This window comes from Homo sapiens, chromosome 3 (assembly GCF_000001405.40).
Source record: "Homo sapiens chromosome 3, GRCh38.p14 Primary Assembly".
NCBI lineage: Eukaryota > Metazoa > Chordata > Mammalia > Primates > Hominidae > Homo > Homo sapiens.
Window position 1 is genome coordinate 122282376 of NC_000003.12, and position 26083 is coordinate 122308458.

The following is a 26083-nucleotide window of genomic DNA, read 5'->3' on the forward strand; positions in this document are numbered from 1 at the left end:
AAATGTTGGGCATGGAGGTGGAACAGAAAAAGAATGTTAGATGTTCTTTTAATACCATAAAAGATAACAATACCTATTACACATCTTTCTCTTACTTCATATTGTCGGCCAATATATTTCCTTTTTGTTAGAGTTTAGTGGCCCTGCATGGACACAGTTATGTCTGCTCCAGACTCCAGAGTTAATAGGCCATCATAGAATTGCCTGCTGGGTGCCTGGCACTGAATTTGCTATCTTACTTGTGTTTTTCCTGTTTCTCAGGTTATTTTTAGGTGGGAATAATAATTAAACCTATCCTATAGAATTTTGAGAATTAGATGATTAATATTGGTAATGCACATGGTAAGTTCTAGATAAATATTTGTTAAATAAAACTTTGGCATATTAGAAGTACTCTATAAATATTAACTATAGTTGATATTATCTCATGTTATCCTCACCCCAGTGATGGGGTTATTGCTGCTCCCATTTTATAAATTAGGAAACTGAGGCTCTGAGAGGTTAAGAAGCTTGATCAAAGTCACATCACTAGTAAGTTGTATGGCCAGGATTCCATCCAGATCTCTAACTCCAAAACCCATGCTCCCTTCACTGCCCAAAACTGCATACTGCCTGGGAGTTAGCAGAGACTTAGTAAACAGTTGTCAGTTGAATGAGTCTGCAGCCTCCCTCATCAAAAAGCTGTGGATGTGGAGTGAGGAAAGCACAGGTCATGTGCATGGGATACTCTGCCTTGATCTAAAAGGAAGTCTGCTCTGGCATGTCTACAAAGCCCATCCATATATCCAAAATAAATCACTCTCCATGTGAGATGTCAGATATGTTCATTTGCCTCACTAGAGTAGCCAGTTTACTGCCCATATGTATCCCACAACATTATGTTGTAAACCTCAAATATTACCCAATAATATTTAAATAAATAAATCAGGCTAAGCTTGAATCATTCTGCGAAGAGTTGATGGACCATGCTAGACCTCTGGTGTGCAGGGCAGCCACCTGTCCAGCAAGGTTGATCATTCCCTGCCATCAGAAGATAGTGTTAAGTGAAACAAGGGCCTCACCCATGTCATGTGCAAAGGGAAAACAAACTAACAATAGAACCATCAGAGTTACATGAAATTAACCATGTTATTAAACATGTCGGGGTTCAGCATATTTTTGATAATGTAAAAATCAGAATGATTTCATCAAAATGGAGAAAATATGTAGTGACCACATCCAAAAAACTATGTATTCCCACCACCACATGTACACTCACACATTTTAGTCTGTGCCACACAATAACTCACTCTTCACTGGGACATTTTACAGATGCCAGTGCCTGTAACAAGTGCCCAGATGACTTCTGGTCCAATGAGAACCACACCTCCTGCATTGCCAAGGAGATCGAGTTTCTGTCGTGGACGGAGCCCTTTGGGATCGCACTCACCCTCTTTGCCGTGCTGGGCATTTTCCTGACAGCCTTTGTGCTGGGTGTGTTTATCAAGTTCCGCAACACACCCATTGTCAAGGCCACCAACCGAGAGCTCTCCTACCTCCTCCTCTTCTCCCTGCTCTGCTGCTTCTCCAGCTCCCTGTTCTTCATCGGGGAGCCCCAGGACTGGACGTGCCGCCTGCGCCAGCCGGCCTTTGGCATCAGCTTCGTGCTCTGCATCTCATGCATCCTGGTGAAAACCAACCGTGTCCTCCTGGTGTTTGAGGCCAAGATCCCCACCAGCTTCCACCGCAAGTGGTGGGGGCTCAACCTGCAGTTCCTGCTGGTTTTCCTCTGCACCTTCATGCAGATTGTCATCTGTGTGATCTGGCTCTACACCGCGCCCCCGTCAAGCTACCGCAACCAGGAGCTGGAGGATGAGATCATCTTCATCACGTGCCACGAGGGCTCCCTCATGGCCCTGGGCTTCCTGATCGGCTACACCTGCCTGCTGGCTGCCATCTGCTTCTTCTTTGCCTTCAAGTCCCGGAAGCTGCCGGAGAACTTCAATGAAGCCAAGTTCATCACCTTCAGCATGCTCATCTTCTTCATCGTCTGGATCTCCTTCATTCCAGCCTATGCCAGCACCTATGGCAAGTTTGTCTCTGCCGTAGAGGTGATTGCCATCCTGGCAGCCAGCTTTGGCTTGCTGGCGTGCATCTTCTTCAACAAGATCTACATCATTCTCTTCAAGCCATCCCGCAACACCATCGAGGAGGTGCGTTGCAGCACCGCAGCTCACGCTTTCAAGGTGGCTGCCCGGGCCACGCTGCGCCGCAGCAACGTCTCCCGCAAGCGGTCCAGCAGCCTTGGAGGCTCCACGGGATCCACCCCCTCCTCCTCCATCAGCAGCAAGAGCAACAGCGAAGACCCATTCCCACAGCCCGAGAGGCAGAAGCAGCAGCAGCCGCTGGCCCTAACCCAGCAAGAGCAGCAGCAGCAGCCCCTGACCCTCCCACAGCAGCAACGATCTCAGCAGCAGCCCAGATGCAAGCAGAAGGTCATCTTTGGCAGCGGCACGGTCACCTTCTCACTGAGCTTTGATGAGCCTCAGAAGAACGCCATGGCCCACAGGAATTCTACGCACCAGAACTCCCTGGAGGCCCAGAAAAGCAGCGATACGCTGACCCGACACGAGCCATTACTCCCGCTGCAGTGCGGGGAAACGGACTTAGATCTGACCGTCCAGGAAACAGGTCTGCAAGGACCTGTGGGTGGAGACCAGCGGCCAGAGGTGGAGGACCCTGAAGAGTTGTCCCCAGCACTTGTAGTGTCCAGTTCACAGAGCTTTGTCATCAGTGGTGGAGGCAGCACTGTTACAGAAAACGTAGTGAATTCATAAAATGGAAGGAGAAGACTGGGCTAGGGAGAATGCAGAGAGGTTTCTTGGGGTCCCAGGGAAGAGGAATCGCCCCAGACTCCTTTCCTCTGAGGAAGAAGGGATAATAGACACATCAAATGCCCCGAATTTAGTCACACCATCTTAAATGACAGTGAATTGACCCATGTTCCCTTTAAAATTAAAAAAAAGAAGAGCCTTGTGTTTCTGTGGTTGCATTTGTCAAAGCATTGAGATCTCCACGGTCAGATTTGCTGTTCACCCACATCTAATGTCTCTTCCTCTGTTCTATCCCACCCAACAGCTCAGAGATGAAACTATGGCTTTAAACTACCCTCCAGAGTGTGCAGACTGATGGGACATCAAATTTGCCACCACTAGAGCTGAGAGTCTGAAAGACAGAATGTCACCAGTCCTGCCCAATGCCTTGACAACAGACTGAATTTTAAATGTTCACAACATAAGGAGAATGTATCTCCTCCTATTTATGAAAACCATATGATATTTTGTCTCCTACCTGCTGCTGCTATTATGTAACATCCAGAAGGTTTGCACCCCTCCTATACCATATGTCTGCTTCTGTCCAGGACATGATACTGATGCCATGTTTAGATTCCAGGATCACAAGAATCACCTCAAATTGTTAGGAAGGGACTGCATAAACCAATGAGCTGTATCTGTAATTAATATTCCTATATGTAGCTTTATCCTTAGGAAAATGCTTCTGTTGTAATAGTCCATGGACAATATAAACTGAAAAATGTCAGTCTGGTTTATATAAGGCAGTATTATTGAGCTCTATTTCCCCACCCCACTATCCTCACTCCCATAAGCTAAGCCTTATGTGAGCCCCTTCAGGGACTCAAGGGTCCAGAAGTCCCTCCCATCTCTACCCCAAAGAATTCCTGAAGCCAGATCCACCCTATCCCTGTACAGAGTAAGTTCTCAATTATTGGCCTGCTAATAGCTGCTAGGGTAGGAAAGCGTGGTTCCAAGAAAGATCCACCCTCAAATGTCAGAGCTATGTTCCCTCCAGCAGTGGTATTAATACTGCCGGTCACCCAGGCTCTGGAGCCAGAGAGACAGACCGGGGTTCAAGCCATGGCTTCGTCATTTGCAAGCTGAGTGACTGTAGGCAGGGAACCTTAACCTCTCTAAGCCACAGCTTCTTCATCTTTAAAATAAGGATAATAATCATTCTTTCCCCTCAGAGCTCTTATGTGGATTAAACGAGATAATGTATATAAAGTACTTTAGCCTGGTACCTAGCACACAATAAGCATTCAATAAATATTAGTTAATATTATTACTGATACTGTAATAATTATTTTTTCCCTTACTTCAAATACAAAACAAAACATACATATTAACCATTCAGATTGTACTGCCTAGCCCACTGATCACAATCACTCTCTCTGTAATAAGCCCAAGAGCTCTGGGCCCAACACATGGGGTCAGCCATAGTATCACTGGCTCATGGTGAGGAAGCCAGAAAGCTGGTCAGCCCCTCAGGTGGCCCAATGCCCTGTCTCCGCAGTGTCAGGGCCTGGACCTCCAGCATCCAGGGAAGACCATCACCAGTCTAGCAGGAGGTTCTAAGCTGAGGCCAAACCATTGCAATTAAATCTCCTGAAGCCTCAAATTTTACAGCTCTTGGTGACTTCTTCCCCTGACCACTTTCTTCCAAAGGGGCGCCTTTCAGTGATTTGTAGGGCAAATTGGTGGACTTGATAGTTGTTAAGATTATAATGAGAAATCATTAGAGGGCACCATGTGGGAGCGCGACTGTGAGCAGAAGGTGGTGACTCAGGATGACCCAAGTGAGGTGCCTGCTCCCCACCTAGGAAGGGCACCGGCCCCCACCCAGCCTGCGCCCCCCTGCAGTCATGCCTCTGAGCAAGGCACCGAGCTGAGTGGGGATTTATATTTAACATTTTACTTGGTCTTAAAAGAAATGCTGAAAATGTGATGGTTTCAAAATAACTATGAGGGAACAGCCTCAACAGAATGTGACATACTTCTCCCTCCAGGGTTTGACTTCAATGTCCATGTCACCCAAGGGGCTTTAGGAGGAAAACATAGGTTTACAGTGAGCTTTTATTTCACCAAGTGCTTGCAAATAAGGAGTCTCTCCCAATGCTGTTGTCAGAAAGGCAGATACAGAAACACTGTCCCAATTTATACGTAGCAGGCACAACTCAGCACAAAATCAGGGGTGTGAAATATGAACTTGCATTGTTTTTCTACAACAACTTAATTTCTATCTCAAATTCCCCTCCAGCCTAGTGACAGAAACTTCATCTTAGTCGAATCGGGGTTTTCACAGTAACCTCAGTGTTTTCTGAGCCAATTTAGATGTTTGGGGATCAATTCAGAGGTTGTTCCTTCTCCCTTCCAGGAGGGCTTTTGTAATGTTGGGGTGGGCCTCCTCAGTCATCAGCAGCTCCCTCATGACATTGCTGAAAGCAATCTTATCTGGCCTTCGCTGGCGTGCTCTGAGGCATTGTATCCTCATCTGGTCCCATCATGGGTTTCGTGGTGGTTTTCACGCATGCCTCACTGTCCTAACCAGTCGGTCCCTGTGGGGCCTGCTAGCTCTTGCAGCTACCTCCATGCTCATCCCTGAGGCCCAGAAATCACTGGCAGCCTCACTTTCATGTCTACTTGACTGCTGTCTCCCCATGACAGTACACAGAGCTTATGGAGGCTAACAAAGCTTCCAGGGTACCAGAGAAGAAACAGGGTACATGTCTCCAAACCTGAATAGACTTCGTAGTGGGCAAATAATGGTCACCCAAAGATGCCCACATCCTCATCTCTAGAACCTATGGCTATGTTGTTACATGGCAAGGGTGAATTAAAGTATAGTGGAATTAAGATTGCTAATCAGCTGACCTTGAGATAGGAAGAGCGTCCCAAATTATCCAGGTGGGTCCAGTGGAATCCCAAGGGCCCTTAAATGTGGACGAAGCAGAAGAGTCAGTGTGAGAGCAATACAGTATGAGAAAAACACCACTGGCCTGTACTGCCTTTGCGTAGGGAAGTGGACATGAGCTGAGGAAGGCAGGCTGCTTCTAGAAGCTGGCAAATGCCAGAAAACCGATTCTCCCCTAAAACATCCAGAAAGGAATGCAGCCCTGCCAACATCTTGATTTTAGCCCAGTGACACCCTTGTAGGACTTTGGACCTCCAGATCTGTAAGATAATACATTTGTGTTGTTTTAAGCCATGAAGTTTATAGTAATTTGTTTCAGCAGCAACAGAAAACAAATACATTTGTATTGTTATCTCCTTCCCTGAGTTTTGGCAGCCAGAGCCTGTCTCAGAGATCTATTCCTGTTCTCACTGTGGTCCTCTTCCCTTCACCTAGCTCACTCCTTCCCCTCTAATATTCTATTCCTCTACATCTGCTTGGGAAAGTATAAACCTCATATTCTAAGTCTTTGCTGGCTTTGGTTATAGAAAATACACAGCCGTGTTGTCTCATTCTATTATCTGTCAGTAGCAGAAACCTGAAATTGGTAGCTTCAACAAACTAGTGTTTGCTTTTCTCTTGAATAAAGGAAGTCAGGAGGTAAATATATGATCACCTTTTAATTACTTTTTAAAATATTTCTTAGGTTTTGTTAACAATGGGAAACTGCTTACATTTCTTTTGAAAATTAAAATGAATTATAAAGTTAAAAAGATTTTCACTCAAATGAAAGTGTCCTAGAAGATTTTAAGAATTTAGGTTGGAAATTTAGAGGTGACGATCAGCATATAACATCAATACCCTGAAAGTCCCTATGATCGTCACACGTTGTCTAATTGCATTAATTTTGATTTTGGGGAAGTTGGGGCTACCCTACCTCTGTCTCCAAAAGGCACATTTCAAGGCAATGTTGTCTGTCGTTTTGCTCTGGCTGAAATCACATAGCTACGGGCTGGTTCTGCCCAGCCAGAGCTTCCCTTTGCTCATCTGCTGCATTTGAAATAATTATTGCTACAAGAATAATGGAACATCAATAAGGGGTGCTAATCACCGGAGGAGGTGGCCCTCATTTGTCTGAGCCTGAGTGGTCATTTTAGGAGTCCACTGGAGACAAGAATACTCCCAAAGGTGGGTGGAATTAGGGTAGGTGGGAGGAAGTTGCCACAGTGAGATCACAGCCTCTGGGAGATGCTGGTTTTCCTGGCCCAGATCATGGAAAAAAAACATCAAGACTTGGATGACAACTTTGAGTGACTTTGCTATTATGCAAGGAGTGAGGCAGGGGTCAGGGAAACAACAAGCACAGGGTAGAACCTGTCACAGGAATAAAGGTGCATTCCAAGGATCCAAAGAAGAACCTTAGCCTTGAGAGGAAAAGCTCAGCAAGTGGTATGAGAAATGGAGAACTGCTAGGTGAAGGCCAACAGGGCAGGAAGCCGGGCAGAGCCAGCATGAAGGTGCCTCTGGGAACTGGAGGGACAACTGTGACTCTAGCACCGAGTGGGGCTAGGGGAACCTTCTCCTCTGTTGGGAATAACCACCACATTCATCCCCTCCCCTGACCCCTGGACAAGAGTGGAGGACACTTGGAGTGGAGACAAGCAGGGGTACCTGTTTAAATCAACAGCTGAGGCCAGATGCAGAGGCTCATGCCTGCAATCCCAGCACTTTGGGAGGCTGAGGTGGGAGGATCACTTGAGCCCTAAGAGTTGAAGACCAGCCTGGGCAACATGGCAAAACCCCATCTCTACAAACAATAAAAAAAAAAAACAGCTGGACATGGTGGCATGCGCCTGTAGTGGCAGATAACTCAGGAGGCTGAGGTGGGGGGATCTGCTTGAGCCCAGGAGGTGAAGGCTGCATTGAGCTGTGATTGCACCACTGCACTCCAGCCTGGGTGACAGAGCAAGACCCTGCCAAAAAAAAAAAAAAAGAAGAAGAAAAACAATTTTATTGGTAGAGGCGGGGGGAATAATAGAGATACAGCACCAGCTCCCTGCCTCTAAAATGTGGGCACCTGGGTAACTAGATAGCGCAGGAAGTTAGAACAAATAAAAGCAGCAAACTCTGTGACTGAAGTTTCAGCACATGGATGGCAAATATTTTCAAGTTTGGTGAAAATAGGTAAGAGATCAAAGCCCAAGAATAAACCCTGGGGTCATTACAGGATTTCCTGTAAAGGCATCAGGAAATGTTTTTGGAAGAATGTGATTGTCTTCGTTGATATCAACCCAAAGATGTGGTTATTGTTCAGAATGTCCTGATTTTCTTTAAATGTTTTGTTTCTATCTGACCTCTCATTATAAATGAGAAACTTATAAATTATAAATATACACTCATTATAAATGAAGATTGCTTGGTAATGGACTAATGGATAATTGTTTCTGCTTCTTTAGGATGTTCTAAATTTTTCCCAAGTTTTGTACATTAAGCACAAAATTATAACAGGAAAATAAAGAAAAGAATTTAAAATAAACATGCAACCAAATTTTAAACAGATAAGTATATCATATTAGATAGGAATCACCATACTGGGTCAGTCACCCCTCCTCCAAATTTTTCTTTATTCTTTTTTTTTTATTATACTTTAAGTTTTAGGGTACATGTGCACAACGTGCAGGTTTGTTACATATGTATACATGTGCCATGTTGGTGTGCTGTACCCATTAACTCGTCATTTACCATTAGGTATATCTCCTAATGCTATCCCTCCCCCCTCCCCCCACCCCACAATAGGCCCTGGTGTGTGATGTTCCCCTTCCTGTGTCCATGTGATCTCATTGTTCGATTCCCACCTATGAGTGAGAATACGTGGTGTTTGGTTTTTTGTCCTTGTATTAGTTTGCTGAGAATGATGGTTTCCAGCTTCATCCATGTCCCTACAAAGGACACGAACTCCTCATTTTTTATGGCTGCATAGTATTCCATGGTGTATATGTGCCACATTTTCTTAATCCAGTCTATCGTTGTTGGACATTTGGGTTGGTTCCAAGTCTTTGCTATTGTGAATAGTGCCACAATAAACATATGTGTGCATGTGTCTTTATAGCAGCATGATTTCTAATCCTTTGGGTATATACCCAGTAATGGGATGGCTGGGTCAAATGGTATTTCTAGTTCTAGATCCCTGAGGAATCGCCACACTGACTTCCACAATGGTTGAACTAGTTTACAGTCCCACCAACAGTGTAAAAGTGTTCCTATTTCTCCACATCCTCTCCAGCACCTGTTGTTTCCTGACTTTTTAATGATCGCCATTCTAACTGGTGTGAGATGGTATCTCATTGTGGTTTTGATTTGCATTTCTCTGATGGCCAGTGATGATGAGCATTATAAATGAAGATTGCTTGGTAGTGGACTAATGGATAATTGTTTCTGCTTCTTTAGGATTTTCTAAATTTTTCCCAAGTTTTGTATATTAAGCACAAAATTATAACAGGAAAATAAAGAAAAGAATTTAAAATAAACATGCAACCAAATTTTAAACAGATAAGCATATCATATTAGATAGGAATCACCATATTGGGTCAGTCACCCCTCCTACAAATTTTTCCAGAGCTCTAATTAGCTCCCAAGAGTTTCATGGGACTTTTAAATTTCTGAACGGGCCGAGGACATAGAATAGTGGAAAAGAGGGGGATTCTAGGCAGTATGACAGATAAGTTACACGTCTTTGGATGAGGCACTTAAGCTTTCTTTGTCTCACTTTCCACTATGAAAAGTACATAGGCCAGGCATGGTAGCTCATGCCTGTAATCCCAGCACTTTAGGAGGCCAAGGCAGGAGGATCATTTGAGGTCAGGAGTGTGAGACAAGCCTGGGCAACATGGTGAAACTTCATCTGTACAAAAAATACAAAAAATTAGCTGGGCATGATGGCATGCACCTGTAATCCCAGCTACTTGGGAGGCTGAGGTGGAAGGCTCCCTTGGGTCCAGGAGGCAGAGGTTGCAATGAAGCAAGATGTAGCCACTGCACTCCAGCCTGGGCAACAGAGCCAGACTTTGTCTCAAAAAAAGAAAAGTAGATAGACTATTACCTGCCATAATTACCAACTATGGTTGTTTGCCAAATAAAACAAGTGATTTGAAAGGAACTTCAGGAATATAGGCAAAATATAAATAATTATTAAAACCATGGGTGACTGAAGCTTAGAGAATTTGCTTTTGAAATCTCAGGAAGTACCATGGAATGCAATGATTTCTTCTGTCAGGTTTCTTAGTTGGAGGCAATAGAATTCACTCTAACTAGTTCAAGCAGAAAGGTACTTGTTATATGGTATTAGGAAGCTTATAACATTTTGGGAGGCTCAGTGATCCAAATTTAGTTGCTATACAATCAGGATCAATTCACCCAGGAGAAATACCTAATCCCCCTATGAGGGTGTTCTGGCAAAAGCTTCATAACCTCCCCTGCCTTCCACTTAGCACCAAGACACAGAGAACAGGACACTGGAACCTTCACTGAAGCTGGAGGAACCAAATCCCTCTGCCTGTGCTTGGCCCCACTCACACCAACTTTCCAAGTCTCATATCAGCCACATGCAGAGCCCTGGCTGTCAAGGAGTCTGGAAATGTAGCATTTGTTTCCCAGCCTCTATAGTGGAGGAAGACCTGCTAGAAGAGGGTCAGAGTGGCTACTGAACAAGCCCGTCCGCAGTGTCTACCACCCCAAAACAAAGATTTTTAAGATCAAACACAACATGAAAAACACACTCTCTTAAGAAAAATATAAGCAAAATATGATTTATTTTTATCTCCACAGCTGTGGTAGATCCACAAGATGCTGTGCTGGAGGCTGAACTACACCTGGCATTTTACTATGAGGGAGAACCTGCTGGCAGAGGAGATGGAAAGACAGCGGGAACTTGCACTGCAGGGGAGGGTGCTACAGGGGAGTGTGGCAACAAGTGTGTTTTATTATAAGCCAATTAGTACTATTTGTCTTTTTAAATAACACACATATGTTTGTATGTGTGTCTTTGTGTGTGTTGGTGTTGTATGGTAACCCGACCTGATAGTAATAAGTTAACAAGAAATGACGGTTTCCAGATGGAGGTTGCTGGGGGGAGAGTGCTAAGTGAACATGCTATGCGAACTGCATGCTTTTTACAAGAGGTTGAGGTTCTCCCATCCAGTCCACCACCACTGAACTGCCCTGTATTTAAGTCCCCTTCAGGAAACCCTGTGCCTGCTTTGCTGGCTCCAGGTCTCTTCTTCAGCCTCTTGAACCTGGTGCCATCCCTACTGCAGTTAATACGGGTCCAGTACAACAAGTGTCTATTTAGTAGCCTGGAGAAAATGCATAATGATTTAATAGTGATTATGTCTGGGTGTTAGAATTATTAGTGATTTGTATTTTCTTTGTAATATTTTTCTGAGCTTTTGTTCCTTAATTTCTTTCCATGAGCGTAATGTATCGTAAAACAAGAAAAATCTGTCACTTGAGTTCTCAGATAGGACAATATTATGGTCATGTTTTTGGTTTGTTCATTTGTTTAAGCTTTTATTTGGACATAATTTCAGACTTACAGAAAATTTGCCAAAGGAAAAGTAGTACAAAGAACACTTGAATCCCCACTGCCCAGATTCAGTTACTGTTTACATTTTAGCCCATTTGCTTTGTCCTTTGTGCCATGGTCATTTAAAAAAATGTGATGCGCATTAAGTACTTATGGATGAAATCATATGATGTCTGGGATTTGCCTTAAAATACTAGAATGGGGAGGAAAAAAGGAATAAGGGAGAGAAATAAAACAGGAAGAGCAGAAAATTATGGTCATTGAAGCTGGGTGACAGGTAAAGGAAGGTTCGTTTTTCTATTTCCCTTTCTTTTTTTTAGTTTTAAATTTTTTTCCATAATAAAAAATGTTAAAAAGCAGTGGAAGGATAAAAAATACTATTAGTCAAAAAAAAAAATCACACCAAAGAATTTCACTGATTTGACTGGTTCAATTAGCCACAAGAAAAGTTTGTCAAACACTCACAAAAAAGAGAACCTGAAAGTCTGCCAGGCAGCTAAAATTGTAGTTGGACAGCAAAAAATTTAAAATCAAATTAAGACTTTTACAACAAGGTTAAAAAGTAATTCTTTGGACTATATCAGAAAGGCCTTCCTGGAGCTTAATGAAAAACAAGTCCCCTGGATCTTCTAACATTTCATCCATTTATGATCTTATCCTTAGGTGAACCAACTCTTGGCTGGTTCACATTTTTTATCGTCTTCTGGCAAAATGTTAAAAATTTCTTAACAGATCCTTCTTAGCCTTTGTGCCAGAAATTTCTCTTTTATGCACAGTCCCAAGTAAATAATCCAACAGGCAGCAAAATTAATTAGTTACCAACGTGTTCAGGCTAAAAGAGAACCTGTCTGGGCCGTATTGAGGGTAGGCCTGCACCCGGGGAGCACTGGCAACTGCTGACGTCCTGTGAGAAAAACAGGAGAGGATCCAGCGCCCAACACCCAGGCTAAGGAAATTATGCTATAATTCCATGTCAGGGAGCCCACAGACATTAGCTGTGCAAACATGTGGACTATGTCAAAACACAATCAAGTTCAAGAAATAATGTTTAGGGAAGAACAGGACACAGAATAGGATATCCACACAGGATAACATGAATACAATTTCACTGAAAAGCAAAACGAGGGAATAGGATGGAGGAAACTGAGTTTATTGTTCATTTGCTTTTCTTTTGTAAAGTTACATAACTTTGCTGTAAAAAGGAAGGAGAGAGGGGAGGAAGGAAGAAAAGAAGGGAGGACAGAAGAAAGCCTTATCTGAGATCTGAGATATATATTTTAACTGTGATTTAAGGGCTAAGAAAGCCAAGATTCTAGGAGACAGGAGATTAGAGGAAGTCACTTTTGGGCTCTTGAGGTAAATCCAGCAGAATTATTGACTGGATAGGCTATGGAGAGTGCTAATTCATTTCCCACACTCTGGTCAATATTAGGTGACCTGTGATAAGGTGGAAGACAAAACATTCAAAGAACAATTTTTTAACATCACTTTGTTATGCAACCAAACACAAAACAGACCAAATGTTATTAGCATTGCTCAATGTCTCCTCTTTCTGTGCCTCATCATCCTCCTCCACCTCCCACCATGCTAATGAAGGCCCCAGACATCTCCAGCCTGGACCATCACAACTGTAACAATCTTACTGAGCAAGCAAAGCTCTTGGGATAGAATCCTAAAGTAACTTCACTTTTGTACACTTTCATGTGATAGTCAAAACTCTGAACACAGTTTCATTTGGGCCTCTTCCCCTTCCTCAGCTCAGGCCTCCTGCAGATGAACAAGCCTATAGTCAGAGAAGAGGGTGTGGTTAGCCATTTCCCCCTTCACCCCATTTGTGCCGTGCCCTTTCCTCTGTGCACACGTGGTTAATCCCTCCGAAACTGGGACACAGGGAGGAAGGAAAGTAAGTTACAGCTGACTCTTTTGCTTGTGGGTACTTTCATGTGTTCTTTGGAGCCTTCTTCCATTGCTGGAGACCTGTCTCCTCCAGGTTCCTTAATGGGGGTGATATACTCTCCTCACCTGGAAGCATCTTTTGATATACCTAGTTTCTGTTTGCCCCTCCAGGCAACCCTCTTGACCAGGACCTAAGAACATGCAAAAGAATAAACTCTAAATTCCTATTGCCCTGGGGTTCTTTTCCAGGCAGCAAGGGCCACCGGATAAAATAAATGACGCAATGCAGATACACAGAAACACTCCACTTACTTCCCCTGACAGCCACTTCCATGGAAGATTCAACACAGCTGAAAGGCCCAAAAAAAGTTCTTGAGTTCCCAGGTGTGAATAATAACAGGGACAAAGACTCTTTCCTTTGACCAAAACTTTAGTCAAGCTCCTCTGAGTGCTCCTCATAACTAGGCCCAACCTTGGGCTTCCCTCCCTGTCCTTGCTGAATCAAATGTGAGCAAGAATCCTGTTAAGTCAGGTTAGGGAAAATCCCCCACTCTAGGTATCTGACCACCCTCAATATCTTATCACCCTGGCCTGCCTGCAGCAAGAATCCTATCAAGTTAGTTTAGCCAGACACCCCTTATCCCTGATGTTTCCTCTTAGTCATTTTCCACCCACAGTCACCACCCTGCTCCTTCGCTACGAATCCCCACTTGTACTGGTTGGGGTCAGAGTTAAGTCTGATTGGCAAGACCCTGTTGCAGTGGTCCCTACACCTATTGCCATGGCCCCCTCCAGTAAAATCTGCCTGACCATCTTGCCTAGTGCTTGGGTAATCTTTTTTTTAACAACCATTATTTCAAATTCAAAATCATGCCCTCAACATCACTTCCTTGGTCCCAAGCCCCCTCCCAGACTCCTTCCAGACATTCCCCTAAGGTGGGAGCTGTGGCTTTTTTCATTATAATACCCTTAAGGAGTCAGCCACATAATCAGGACACCCAAGAGTAGAGATTTCAAAGTTCAACTGAATCCCTCGACACATTTGGTTTTGACTCTAGCTATTTTCTTGGCTCAACTCCCTGTTCTGTTATATAGGCAAGATTCTGTAGTTTCTTCCTTCCTATCTTGTCTGACTCCCCCCAATATGTGATCTAAAACCACTAACTTAAAACATTTCACTTCTGTTAACTATAACCTCATAATTCACCCTTCCCAATAAACTGGATTTTCCTACTTGATCAACAATATTCAATGATTTTCATTTGCCACTTCAGAAAAACCCCACCAACATCAATGAGACATATTCTATTGCATTTCATGAGACATCAATGAGTGTGATCTGGAGAAAATATTTATTTAAGCCAGAAACAAAAATTTTGATCTGGAGAAAATATTTATTCGAGCCAGAAACAAAAATTTCTTTGCAACATTGGCAGTTATAGAAATTATCCTAACAAGAGTCAACCCCACAGAGCCTTGTGGACTTTGAAAGGATCTAAGACCACGGCAGAGACTCACCTTTTAGTAAAGCAGTAAGTCTTGACATCGTGTGAGTTTGGACATTGATGGATGATCCTCTTGGATTTGATTTGAGCAGATAACCCACAAAAGGTGTGTATGCCTCTCCTACATTTTTGGATTCTTTCACTGTGCTTGATAAAAGAAGGCAAATAGAATTTAGGATGTCAAGTTGAAGTTAATAGTAAGATTCAAGTGATTTGGATTCTCTAATTATAGTCAAAGAAAACACTCAGCTTCCTTAACAAAACTAGCGGGTAAAACGATCTGACTTCAGATGTATCAGATACACAAATTAGCACTATCCTCCAGAACCAAACTGCATCCACCTGGTTATAACAATCTCATTCTAAATCCCAGCAGTTTGGGAGGCCGACGTGGGGGGATCACGAGGTTAGGAGATCGAGACCATCCTGGCTAACACAGTGAAACCCCGTCTCTACTTTAAAAAAATACAAAAAAGTAGCCGGGCGTGGTGGCGGGCGCCTGCAGTCCCAGCTACTCCGGAGGCTGAGGCAGGAGAATGGCGTGAACTCGGGAGGCGGAGCTTGCAGTGAGCGGAGATAGCACCACTGCACTCCAGCCTGGGCGACAGAGCAAGACTCCGTCCAGAGCAAGGCTCCGTCTCAAAAAAAAATGCCATTCTATAATAAAAAAAAAATCCCTTTAATGCCTCTTTTATTAAACTCTCTTGAACAGGGTTCAATATAGTATCACCTTTTACCAAATTCCAGTGCAAAACAAACAAACATTTCAGATGGCAGTGTACTAAAGGATTCTTGCGAGTAACTCGCAGTATAATTTTTGTCAGGTCACTTACTGTGGTAGGCAGAATAATGGCCTCCAAATATGTCTATGTCCTAATCCCTGGAACCTGTAACTATGTTCTGTGGCAAAGGGGAATTAGGTTGCATATGGAATTATGATCACTAATCAGATGACCTTGAGATAGGAAAAGTATCCAGGTGGGCTGGATCACAAGGGTCCTTATAAGTGGAAGAGGGAGGCAGGAGAGTCAGGGTCAGAGTCAGAGAGAGATTTTAAGATGGTAGAAGTGACGAGAAGCCAAGGAACACAGGTGGCCTCTGAAAGCTAGAAACAGCAAGGAGCAGATTTTCCCTTAAACTTTCCAGAAAGAAATGCCAGTACCTTTAACTCAGTGAGATCCATTTTGGACTTCCAACCTCCAGAACTATAAGGTAACAAATTTGTGTTGTTTTAAGCCACTAATTTGCAGTCATCTGTTACAACAGCAATAGAACAGACACCTTCACACTTGCCCTTTCTAGGCCTCAGTTTTCTAATGTGTCCACTGGGGGAGGCAGGGGTGGTTCTGCTCTGACATTCTATGGTTGCGAGTCTTCCTGAACCGTGAAAGAATCAGGTCTTTCTCAGACCACAAAGATTTTGTGTGTTCAAACCACTGCAACTTCTGAAAACTTTCACATGGTAATAGGAATTGGTTGTCATAAAATTCATTTGACAATATGATGTTAGGATTAAATGACACTACAGAGAAAAATCAGACAAATCCAACATACTGAAATTCTTTCTATAGGACAACTGTTCTGGTCTCATCAAAAGGTCAGTATCTAGGTAGGTAGGTAGATAGATAGATAGATAGATAGATAGATAGATAGATAGATAGATAGATACACACACACATACATGGCACACATATATGGCATTTCTAATACACAAGTCTAAAGAGATATAGCAACCAAATATAATTATAACATTTGAATTAAAGAAAAATTTGGGAAATGTGAATTTGAACTGATTTTTAGATAAAATTGAGGAAGTATTGTTAGTTTTCCTAGGGGTGATAATGTGGTTATGTAACAAAATGTCGTTATATTTAGGGGATGAATGCCAAACAGTTTTGAGGTAACTGGTCACAATATCTGCAACTCAATTTTAAATGTTTTATACAAAAAAATAGACACAGATATATGTTAAAATATATGGCAAGATGCTCATAATTATGTAATCTGAGTGGTGATATAGAGGTGTTTGCTACACTGTTTCTGAATGTTTAGAAATTTGGTAACAAAAAGTTGGGGGATTTGTTTTTAAAAACTCTTTACAAATGTTTGTTAAACTTTTGCTCAGAAACTTTACATTTTGGATTCAAGATGCTCCCTTTGTATAGAACTGTTTAAAGCTATTTTGTAGCAACTCAGATTTGTGGCAAGATAACTACCACCTTATGTAAAATAGTTTAGATAAGTTTCCAGTCAAAAAGCTCATGGGAAAAAAAGTGATGTTCTTCTATGAATCAGTGGGAAATTACTGCCCTCTCATTGAAGAAAGCCTCACTTGGTGGAATGGGGATTTTTAGTCTGAGCAGGTCAGAGATTTTCATTTCTTGATTTTGCCAACAGAAGGGATAAAAGTGAAACTCTGAATATGATAAATAGAAAATTATTGCCAAGTAAAAGAAGGCAGGCACAAAAATTATTCCCTAAACACCAACATCCTACAACCAGTAGCAGAAGGAGGCTGCAAGAAATTTGTGTTTCTAAGTCTGACTAAAGTCCCAGAGCTGCGCCAGTCATTTTCTACGGACATACAAGAGAACACCAGAGAAAAAAATTAAACAGTATCATTCTAGTAAGCCCAGAGACAAGAACAGGATTAGCTAGAGATAGAATGAAAAATACTTTTATATAGTTTGCCTTTTTGACTTGAGAAAATATGACTAGTCAATACTGATTTCTATTTATATTAAAATAATTCTTAATATAAATATATTAGATATTATTAAAATAAGTAATATAAATATATTAGATATTAAGTACTAAAATAATACTTAATGATTAAAAGTTTTTATTAAAATGGTTAGTTTTTAATTTTTATTTGAAAATATATAGTTTAAATCTACAATGGAATTCATACAGAAAATTATAATTTGATCATATTGTGGATGACAGAGCCAAGATATCTGCTACCACCTGGTGGAGCATAACTGAATTGCAGTAAAAGCCTGAGATGAGAGGGTAGGAGAGATTGTCAACATCTAGCTTAAAGAAATCCCACCTAGGCCGGGTGCAGTGGCTCACGCCTGTAATCCCAACACTTTGGAAGGCCGAGTTGGGCGGATCGCCTGAGGTCAAGAGTTTGAGACCAACCTGGCCAAAATGGTGAACCCCCGTCTCTACTAAAAAAAAATCAAAAAAATTAGCCGGACATGGTAGCAGGTGTTCGTAATCCCAGCTACTCAGGAGGCTGAGGCAGGAAAATTGCTTGAACCTCGGAGGCGGAGGTTGCAGTGAGCCAAGGTCGCACCACTGCACTCTAGCCTGGGCGACAGAGTGAGACTCCTTCTCAAAAATAAATAAATAAATAAAAATCCTACCTAAGTCTTCATTCCAGAATCTTTATTTCTTATATTAATGCACAAAAATTTGACGTCTTCCATTATGGTTACCAAATATATCCAGTTTATTGAACATTGTGGGCTACAAACTCAAATAGTTTTACTTTCCTCCAGTTACTGCCTTTGACCAGGCTTTGCCAAATCTTTTTTCCCATCCCTTACCAGAATTTTGGGTAGAACCTACATCTTTCCAGTCATTTTCACTTATTAAAAAGAAGTCTTGTCTAGTGTAAAACTTGAGCTTTTGAGACTGAGTCACGCTCTGTCACCCAGGCTGCAGTGCAGTTGCATGATCTTGGCTCACTGCAACCTCTGACTCCTGGGTTCAAGCAATTCAGCCTCCCAAGTAGCTGGGATTACAGGGGTGTGCCACCACACCCTGCTCCCCACTAATTTTTTTTTTTTTTAGTAGAGACAAGTTTTTGCCATGTTTCCTAGGCTCATCTCAAACTCCTGGACTCAAGCAATCCTCCCTGCCCCCCGCCTGCCTTGGCCTCCCAATGTGCTAGGATTACAAGGTGTGAGCCACCATGCCCAGCCAAAACTTGAGTTTCTAATCCAATTTAAGGCTCACATTTTCTCCTCCCCATCACTCTGTCAAGAAAACTTTCTCTTAAGAGACTTAAGTGAGGAATGGCCAGGGTCTGTTTTTTCACTCATACCCACTTCCTTTTTCTGGGTCTGAAAGATGAAAGTGTCTCTCATTTATCTGGCCCCTTTTATAGGCCTCTCTTGGCTGCCTTTGCTTCTCTGGCTAAGACCAACAGGTTGCTAACATCAAATGACCAAGTAACATACACAGCAGCCAACTATTCACAAAGACAGGTCATTGCCTTTACCCCTGCCTATGTAGACAAAGAGTCAGAAACAAAGAAAGACCTGGTTGTTTGCTCAAGTTTCTGGTCACCTAAAGAGTGAGCCTAAGTCCTCAGGCCTCCCTGTTAGCTGGTCCTAGTTCCCTTTCTTAACAGTTTTTGTGGTAAGTAAATATAGATCATAGTAAATATAGATCATCAGTAAAGATAATAGGCAAAATAGAATAATATTACTTGAAATCAATTATTCGGCTCTGATATAAAAAAGACAAAACTAAACACTATTAACTTAGACAATTTATTTAAAAAGCATTATCCCAATAATGTATGTCATTAATGTACATCATTGGTTACTGAACCAACATATAATTTTAGAAAGTTTTTTTGAGAATATACAAATATCCCATAGTTCTATGTGCCATTCCCTATTAAAAGGAACCAGGACTTCTTAGAGAAATGATTGATTCCATGGCTGTGGTAGGAAATATACAAGCTGAATCTATGATATGTTATTGTGCCAAAAAACAAAGAAGCTATCAAAGTCCACTGTAATTATATCAAAAACACGTAAGAGCCAACTTGAGGGGCTTCTATAAGCCTAAGATGGAACAATATGAGCATCAGTAAAAGAAGATGATTGTAATTGATTGAAAACTTTTTTAACTTTTAAGTTCAGGAGTACATGTGCAGGTTTGTTATATAGGTAAACTCATGTCATGGGGGTTTGTTGTTCTGTTTATTTCATCACCCAGGTACTAAGCCTAGTACCCATTAGTTATTTTTCCTGACCCTCTTCCTCCTTCCACCCTCCACCCTTTAGTAGGCCTCAGTTTCTATTATTCCCCTCTATGTATCCATGTGTTCTCATTATTTAGCTCCCACTTATAAGTAAGAACATGTGGTATTTGGTTTTCTGTTCCTGCATGACTTTGCTAAAGATAATGGCCTCCGGCTCCATCCATGTTCCCGCAAAGGACATGATCTTGTTCTTTTTATGGCTGCACAGTATTCCATGGTGTATATGTACCATATTTTCTTTATGCAATCTAGCATTGATGAGCATTTAGGTTGATTCCATGTGTCTGCTGTTGTGAAGAGTGCTGCAATGAACATACACATGCAAGTGTCTTTATGACAGAATGATTTCTGTTCCTTTCAGGATATACCCAGCAATGGAATTTCTGGGTCAAACGGTAGTTCTGTTTTTAGGTCTTTGAGGAATCACCACACTGTTTTCCACAATGGCTGCATTAATTTACACTCCCATCAACAGTGTATAAGCATTCCTTTTTCTCCACAACCGTGGCTGTACCTGTTATTTTTTGACTTTTTAATAATAGCCATTCTTACTGGTGTGAAATGGTATCTCATTGTGGTTTTGATTTGGATTTCTCTAATGATCAGTGATGTTGAGCTTTTTTTTTCATATGCTTGTTGGCTGCATGTATGTCTCTTGAAAAGTGCCTGCTCATGTCCTTTGCTCACTTTTTAATGAGGTTGTTTGTTTTTTCTCGTAGATTTAAGTTTCTTATAGATGCTAGATATAAGACCTTTGTCAGATGCATAGTTTGCAAAAATTTTCTCCCATTCTGTAGGTTGTCTGAAACATTTTAAATATATAAAAATTCATTAGTTCATAATACCACTCTCTTAAACCCCATCCTCCCAAAAAAAGAATTTTTAAAAAACTTAATTCTCACAATTGGAAGTTTCAGGGCAATAAGTTATTATTTGTTCATTGATTAATTAAGAGAAAGAAGTAAGCATTTAGCCTTCCTTTCTCTACTTGAACTGTATTTTAGGGTAATCAAATCATTGATGATGGAAAATTCTTCTTTATGTAAGTATTCAGTTAATATACAGAATTTAGTAACAGACTATATAATAACCTATCTAGCTATATAAGTATGTCAAAACTAATTAAATTGTATGCTTTAAATATGTGTATTGTACATCAATTATATACCACAATAAAACTGTCAAAAACTAAATATAACAACATGCACAAATAGCAAAAGTAATGACAGGACTAGAAAAATCACCATTCCACTACACCTGATGAAGCAATGCTGTCAAAAAAGCACTCAAGAATGTAGGAATTAATGTATTTTTTTATTAATGTAATAAAATATATACACCTCAGTCCTAAAGCTAGCAATTTACAGATGACATAATATTTGTAAAATCTTAGAAAAACAAAGTAAAACTAACAAAGCAATTAAAAAATTCTAAAGTTAGCAGGATGTAAAACTAACATAACAGAAATCAACAGCCTTTAGAAATACTAACAGTAACCAATCAGAAAATAAAATAGAGGAGAAAGTCCTATTGACAATAACAACAAAAAAAAGATGAATTCTAAGGAATAAATTTAACAAGACATGTGCAAAATCGGTATGAAGAAAATTTTGAAACACTCCTAAAATACCAAAAACTAGACTTGAATGAATGGAAAGATGTTCTTGAATAGGATCACATTCAAAAGATGTCTGTTCTTCCCAAGTCGATTCACAATTAAATATATCAAGAAGATTTTTTGAAACTAGATAAGTTGATACTAAAGTTCATGTGAAAAAATAAATGTGCAAGAACAGCTTTAAAAAAAAAAACTGAAAAAGAACCATAAGGCCAGTCGTCAGGTGGGTAGAAAAAAGAAAAAGAAGAACTATAAGGGAAAAGTAGCACTACCAGACATTAAAATATATTTTAAAATCTCCAGCCAGATGTGAGGGCTCACACCTGTAATCCCAGCACTTTGAGAGGCTGAGGCGGGTGGATCACCTGAGGTCAGGAGTTCGAGACCAGCCTGGCCAACATGGCGAAACCCTGTCTCTACTAAAAATACAAAAAATTAGCCGGGCATGGTGGGGGGGCACCTGTAGTCCCAGCTACTTGGGAGGCTGAAGCAGGAGAATTGCTTGAACCCAGGAGGTGGAGGTTGCAGTGAGTGCCATTGTACTCCAGCCTGGGCAACAGAACAAGACTCTGTCTCAAAAATAAATAAATAAATAAAATAAAATAAAAAAGAAAAAGAAAAGCTCCATAATGAAAGTTTGGTTTTGGCACATACATAGATAGATCTGTGTAAATGAATTCAAAGTCCAGAATTAAACCTAAATATAAATGTAAATTTAAAATATGGTAGAAAAAAAATCATATGGCATCTAAAAAAATCACTGGGGCAAATATGACTATTTAATATATGGTGGGAAGACAACGTGATAGCCATTATGAGAAAGATAAAATTGAATCCACACTCTAAACTATACATAAGAATAAATTCTTCTGGGCTTGGTCGCTCACGCCTGTAATCCCAGCACTTTGGGAGGCCAAGGTGGGCTGATCGCTTTAGCTCAGGAGTTCCAGACCATCCTGGGAAACATAGTGAGACCCCCGCTCTCTACAAAAATACAAAAATTACTCAGGCATGATAGCACGCATGTGTACTCCCAGTTATTCAGGAGGCTGAAGTGGGAGGATTGCTTGAGCCTAGGAGACAGAAGTTGCAGTGAGCCGACATTGCTCCACTGCACTCCAGCCTGGACGACAGAGAGAGACCCTATCTCAAAAAAAAAAAAATAAGAAGAAGAATAAGAATAACCTCATAATAGATCAGAGATCTAAACTTAAAAGATGATGCTGGCCAGGCATGGTGACTCACACCTGTAATCCCAGCACTTTGGGAGATAACGAGGTCAGGAGTTCAAGACCAGCCTGGCCAATATGTTGAAACCCCATCTCTACTAAAAACACAAAAATTAGCCGGGCATGGGGGCGCGTGCCTGTAGTCCCAGCTACTCAGAAGGCTGAGGCCGGAGAATCACTTGAACCCAGGAGGCAGAGGTTGCAGTGAGCCGAGATTATGCCACTGCACTCTGGCCTGGGCGACAGAGCGAGACTCTGTCTCAAAAAAAAAAAAAAAAAAAAAAAAGAAGCAGCAGCTAAACCATATAAATACAAGGAGAAAGCAATGGTGAATTATTAACCTGAGGAAAGACTTTCTAACTGTGACTCCAAATCCAGACTCAGTAAAAGAAAATACTTATTGATAAATTTGACTATGTAAAAATAAAAAATTGGCACATCACAAAAAAGAGCACCAAAGGCAAAGTCAAACTGAGAGAAAAATATTTGCAACATCTGTCATAGGTGATGGGCAGTACCCCAAAACTCAATATAAAAATGGGCAAAAGACACCAACACACCATTACATGAGGTTAAGAAAAAGGCTGTGAAGGTGAGCAGGCTCTTGTCCTGATAGGTTATAAGCAAAGTTAGCACCATTTCTCTTCTAATAAAAAGAGAAATAATCAGGCTGCAAGGGCTTTTATGTCAGATTTTTTTAAGACACCTCTGAGGGATACTTAATTGAAAATAACCAACTGAGTTAGGAAGCTGCTACATAGCCTGACAACAGGGTTAGTTTTATCAGTGATTAATAACAATTGAAGTCTCAGGATAACACCAAATCTTATTTGTGAGTTTGCGTTTCTTTCTATCTGGCCTTAAAAGTGACTAAGTAAGAATGTATGCTTAACTTTGAAAAAACAACTCTTTCTATTTCTAACACTTGACCAGACAGCATAATGATCTCTTTAAGCAACAATTCCTTGTTAAGTGGCTGGAGTTAAGATTCCCTCCAACCACTAGATCCTGTGAAACTATGATAATTCTGTGATAGCCCAGTGGAGAAAGCATAACAGAGGTGCCATTGGCCACTTGGTGGCAATACATCCTAATTGCGTGTAAAGTTCTGAAACGGTAATAAACAGCATGCTAACAGACTTGGAAGCTAATTTATGCAGACATTTCAAGCAGTTTACAGGTGCCTTAGTTGGAAAGGTCAGCTAAATGCTTAATATCCTTTAAAGGTGCATTAGAAGCAAAGCAAAACATACCTTGTGTTTGCCAAAAGTATTTGTGGGTACTCTCTAGGAAATTCTATTAGGAAATATCTTTGGAGCTAGAAAAGATTCAGAGGGAAAGTAAAACTGCTGACATAGTAGCAATAACCAAAAAATACATAGACTGTAAAGAGATTTCATTAATAATATTAAGAACCTACCACTGTGTGTAGTCATCTGAGCTTGAACAAATCAGTTAAACTTTCAGGGCTTCGATTTCTTTGCCTGAACTGTGAGCTAGCTCAGAGGTCAGCAAATGTTTTCTGTAAAGTACCAGGTAAAACCTTGCAGACCAGCAGGGTGCAGTGGCTGGCACTGTAATCCCAGCTACTCAGCAAGCTGAGGTGACAGGCTTGCTTGAGTCCAGGAGTTGGAGCCTGCAGTGAGGTATGATTGTCCCACTCCACTCTAGCCTGGGTAACAGAATGAGACTCTGTCTCTGAAAAGAACATTTTTAAATGAAAAAACTTTGCAGGCCATACGTTGTTTGTTGCAACTTCTCAACTCTGTCATTGTAGCATGAAAGCAGCAATTGACAATACATGGCTGTGTTCCAACAAAACTTTATTGGTGGACACTGAAATTTGAATTTTGCATAGTTTTCACACATTATGAAATACTATTCTTCTAATTTCTTTTTCAAACACTTAAAAATGTAAAAACCATTGTCTGAGGGCTATTTAAAACAAAATAAAACAAGCAGCTGGACTAGATTTGACTCACGGAGCTGTAGTTTGCAAACCATTGGGCTAGATGTTCTCTAAACTCCAGCTTTGTGTCTCTGTTGATTAAACTGGTATTGATTCCTTATTTAGCTAACACTAGGTTTATACTTCTTTTACACTATCTTGCACATTTTTCTACAGCCTAAAGCAGTTTCTCAAACTTTATTTACTTACATCCCCATTAAACAAGAATTTGAAAGATGTCACATCTTTTATACAGCTCATATTATTTGAAAAGTAATCTTTGTTCTTCCAAATATGTATGTGGGTTTCCAAATTTTACATGTCCTTCTCCCTGCCTTCCTCCACCACAGATTCCCACAGTTATCCTCATGTGTCTAAGAATCACTGCCTTACTGTTGTTTAGACGTGAAAATTCCCAACTGGGAAGCCCCCAGAAAACCTCACTTCTCTTTTCTACTGTTAAAAAAAAGAAAAAAATAGTTTTCCACTAACTCTGCTGTAAATGAGAATGGCTAACTTAGACTTACTTCATGGAACAGCGAGTTCCAGGTAAGAGCTCTACTTGACCTTCTGTTAGTCCTTTCTTCCACACGGTCAGAATCTGAAGTATGAGCCAAAACAGGAATCCATGCATTCATTCTTCTCCCCTGTTCACCCGTGAGAACACTCATCTTTCCACCAAGATCTGATCAGCTTGATGGCCACATAACTGGTTCTAATAGCTACAAGAATACAATGTTGGAAATGTATACTTATGGTCAGTCTGTGCAAAAATGCCTGTAAATGGTAGAGAAGAGAAAGAAGATAGCTGCTTTTAGACCCATACCTGGTGACAGGCCGCCTTAAAGCAACTCCTAGAAGGAGACAGTGATTATAAAATGCCCCATCTCCATAAATAAGTCTTTCAAGGTTAAGGAGCTTCACTGCTAAAGAGGAGAAGCCCTGGGGGGATGCACATTGAGTGCCCTCAGTAAGCCGGTAGCCATGCTGCCTTTGGTCACAGCATCTCTCCTATGTGAAGTCAGTGGGGACTATTAACACCTTTGGGACAGCTGAGGAATCATCTTCCTGGACACAGCTGGAAGCAACTTCACCTTTGGAGTTTTACTACCACCCTCCTTTGCTCCAGGCCTCAGAGTTCTCTGTGCATTTATTTCCTTCCACTTAGCTGGGACAATATTCTCAAGTCTTACTTCCATTACATGCAGACATCTTCTCTACACTCTCTCCATTCTAGAATTTCATGTCTTAAAAACAGAAAACAGAAAGACTTGCAGACTTCTGCTTTCTAACATGCAACATCTCCTTCCTGTGACAATGAGGACAGACTGACCACTAGCTTTAATGGGGGAAAGGCCAGGGAGAAGTTTAAGAAGAATAAAAGTGCAGGTAAATGCCTGAAATATTATCCAGCCACATGTTTATTTTTCAGTATTTATATAGGTTCTTAGATGAGTTGCTTGCACAATTTCATATTTATAATCATCACCCCATCTACTGAAATTAATTGGCAAATACACTTTCTACTTCTAACCCCATTTTCCTCAACTGAGTACTTCTCTCTACTGTGGCCC

General features: G+C 41.2%; 1 protein-coding gene across 6 annotated transcripts in view, besides 1 other annotated feature; it reads left to right on the forward strand.

Moving 5' to 3' along the window:
- Nucleotides 1–9254, forward strand: part of CASR (calcium sensing receptor) — a 107962-nt gene extending 98708 nt beyond the window's left edge. For all 6 annotated transcript variants that reach the window (NM_000388.4, NM_001178065.2, XM_006713789.4 and 3 more), the window contains one exon: nucleotides 1312–9254. In NM_000388.4, coding sequence (NP_000379.3) covers nucleotides 1312–2816 — 1505 coding nt within the window. In that variant the 3' untranslated portion in view covers nucleotides 2817–9254. The remainder of the gene's footprint in view (nucleotides 1–1311) is intronic.
- Nucleotides 25212–25760: an enhancer, noted in NCBI's record as "NANOG hESC enhancer chr3:122026434-122026982 (GRCh37/hg19 assembly coordinates)". NCBI's record gives its function as "activates a minimal SCP1, AML or CMV promoter by ChIP-STARR-seq in naive H9 embryonic stem cells {active_cell/tissue: H9 hESC(naive)}" and the evidence as "EXISTENCE:reporter gene assay evidence [ECO:0000049][PMID:30033119]".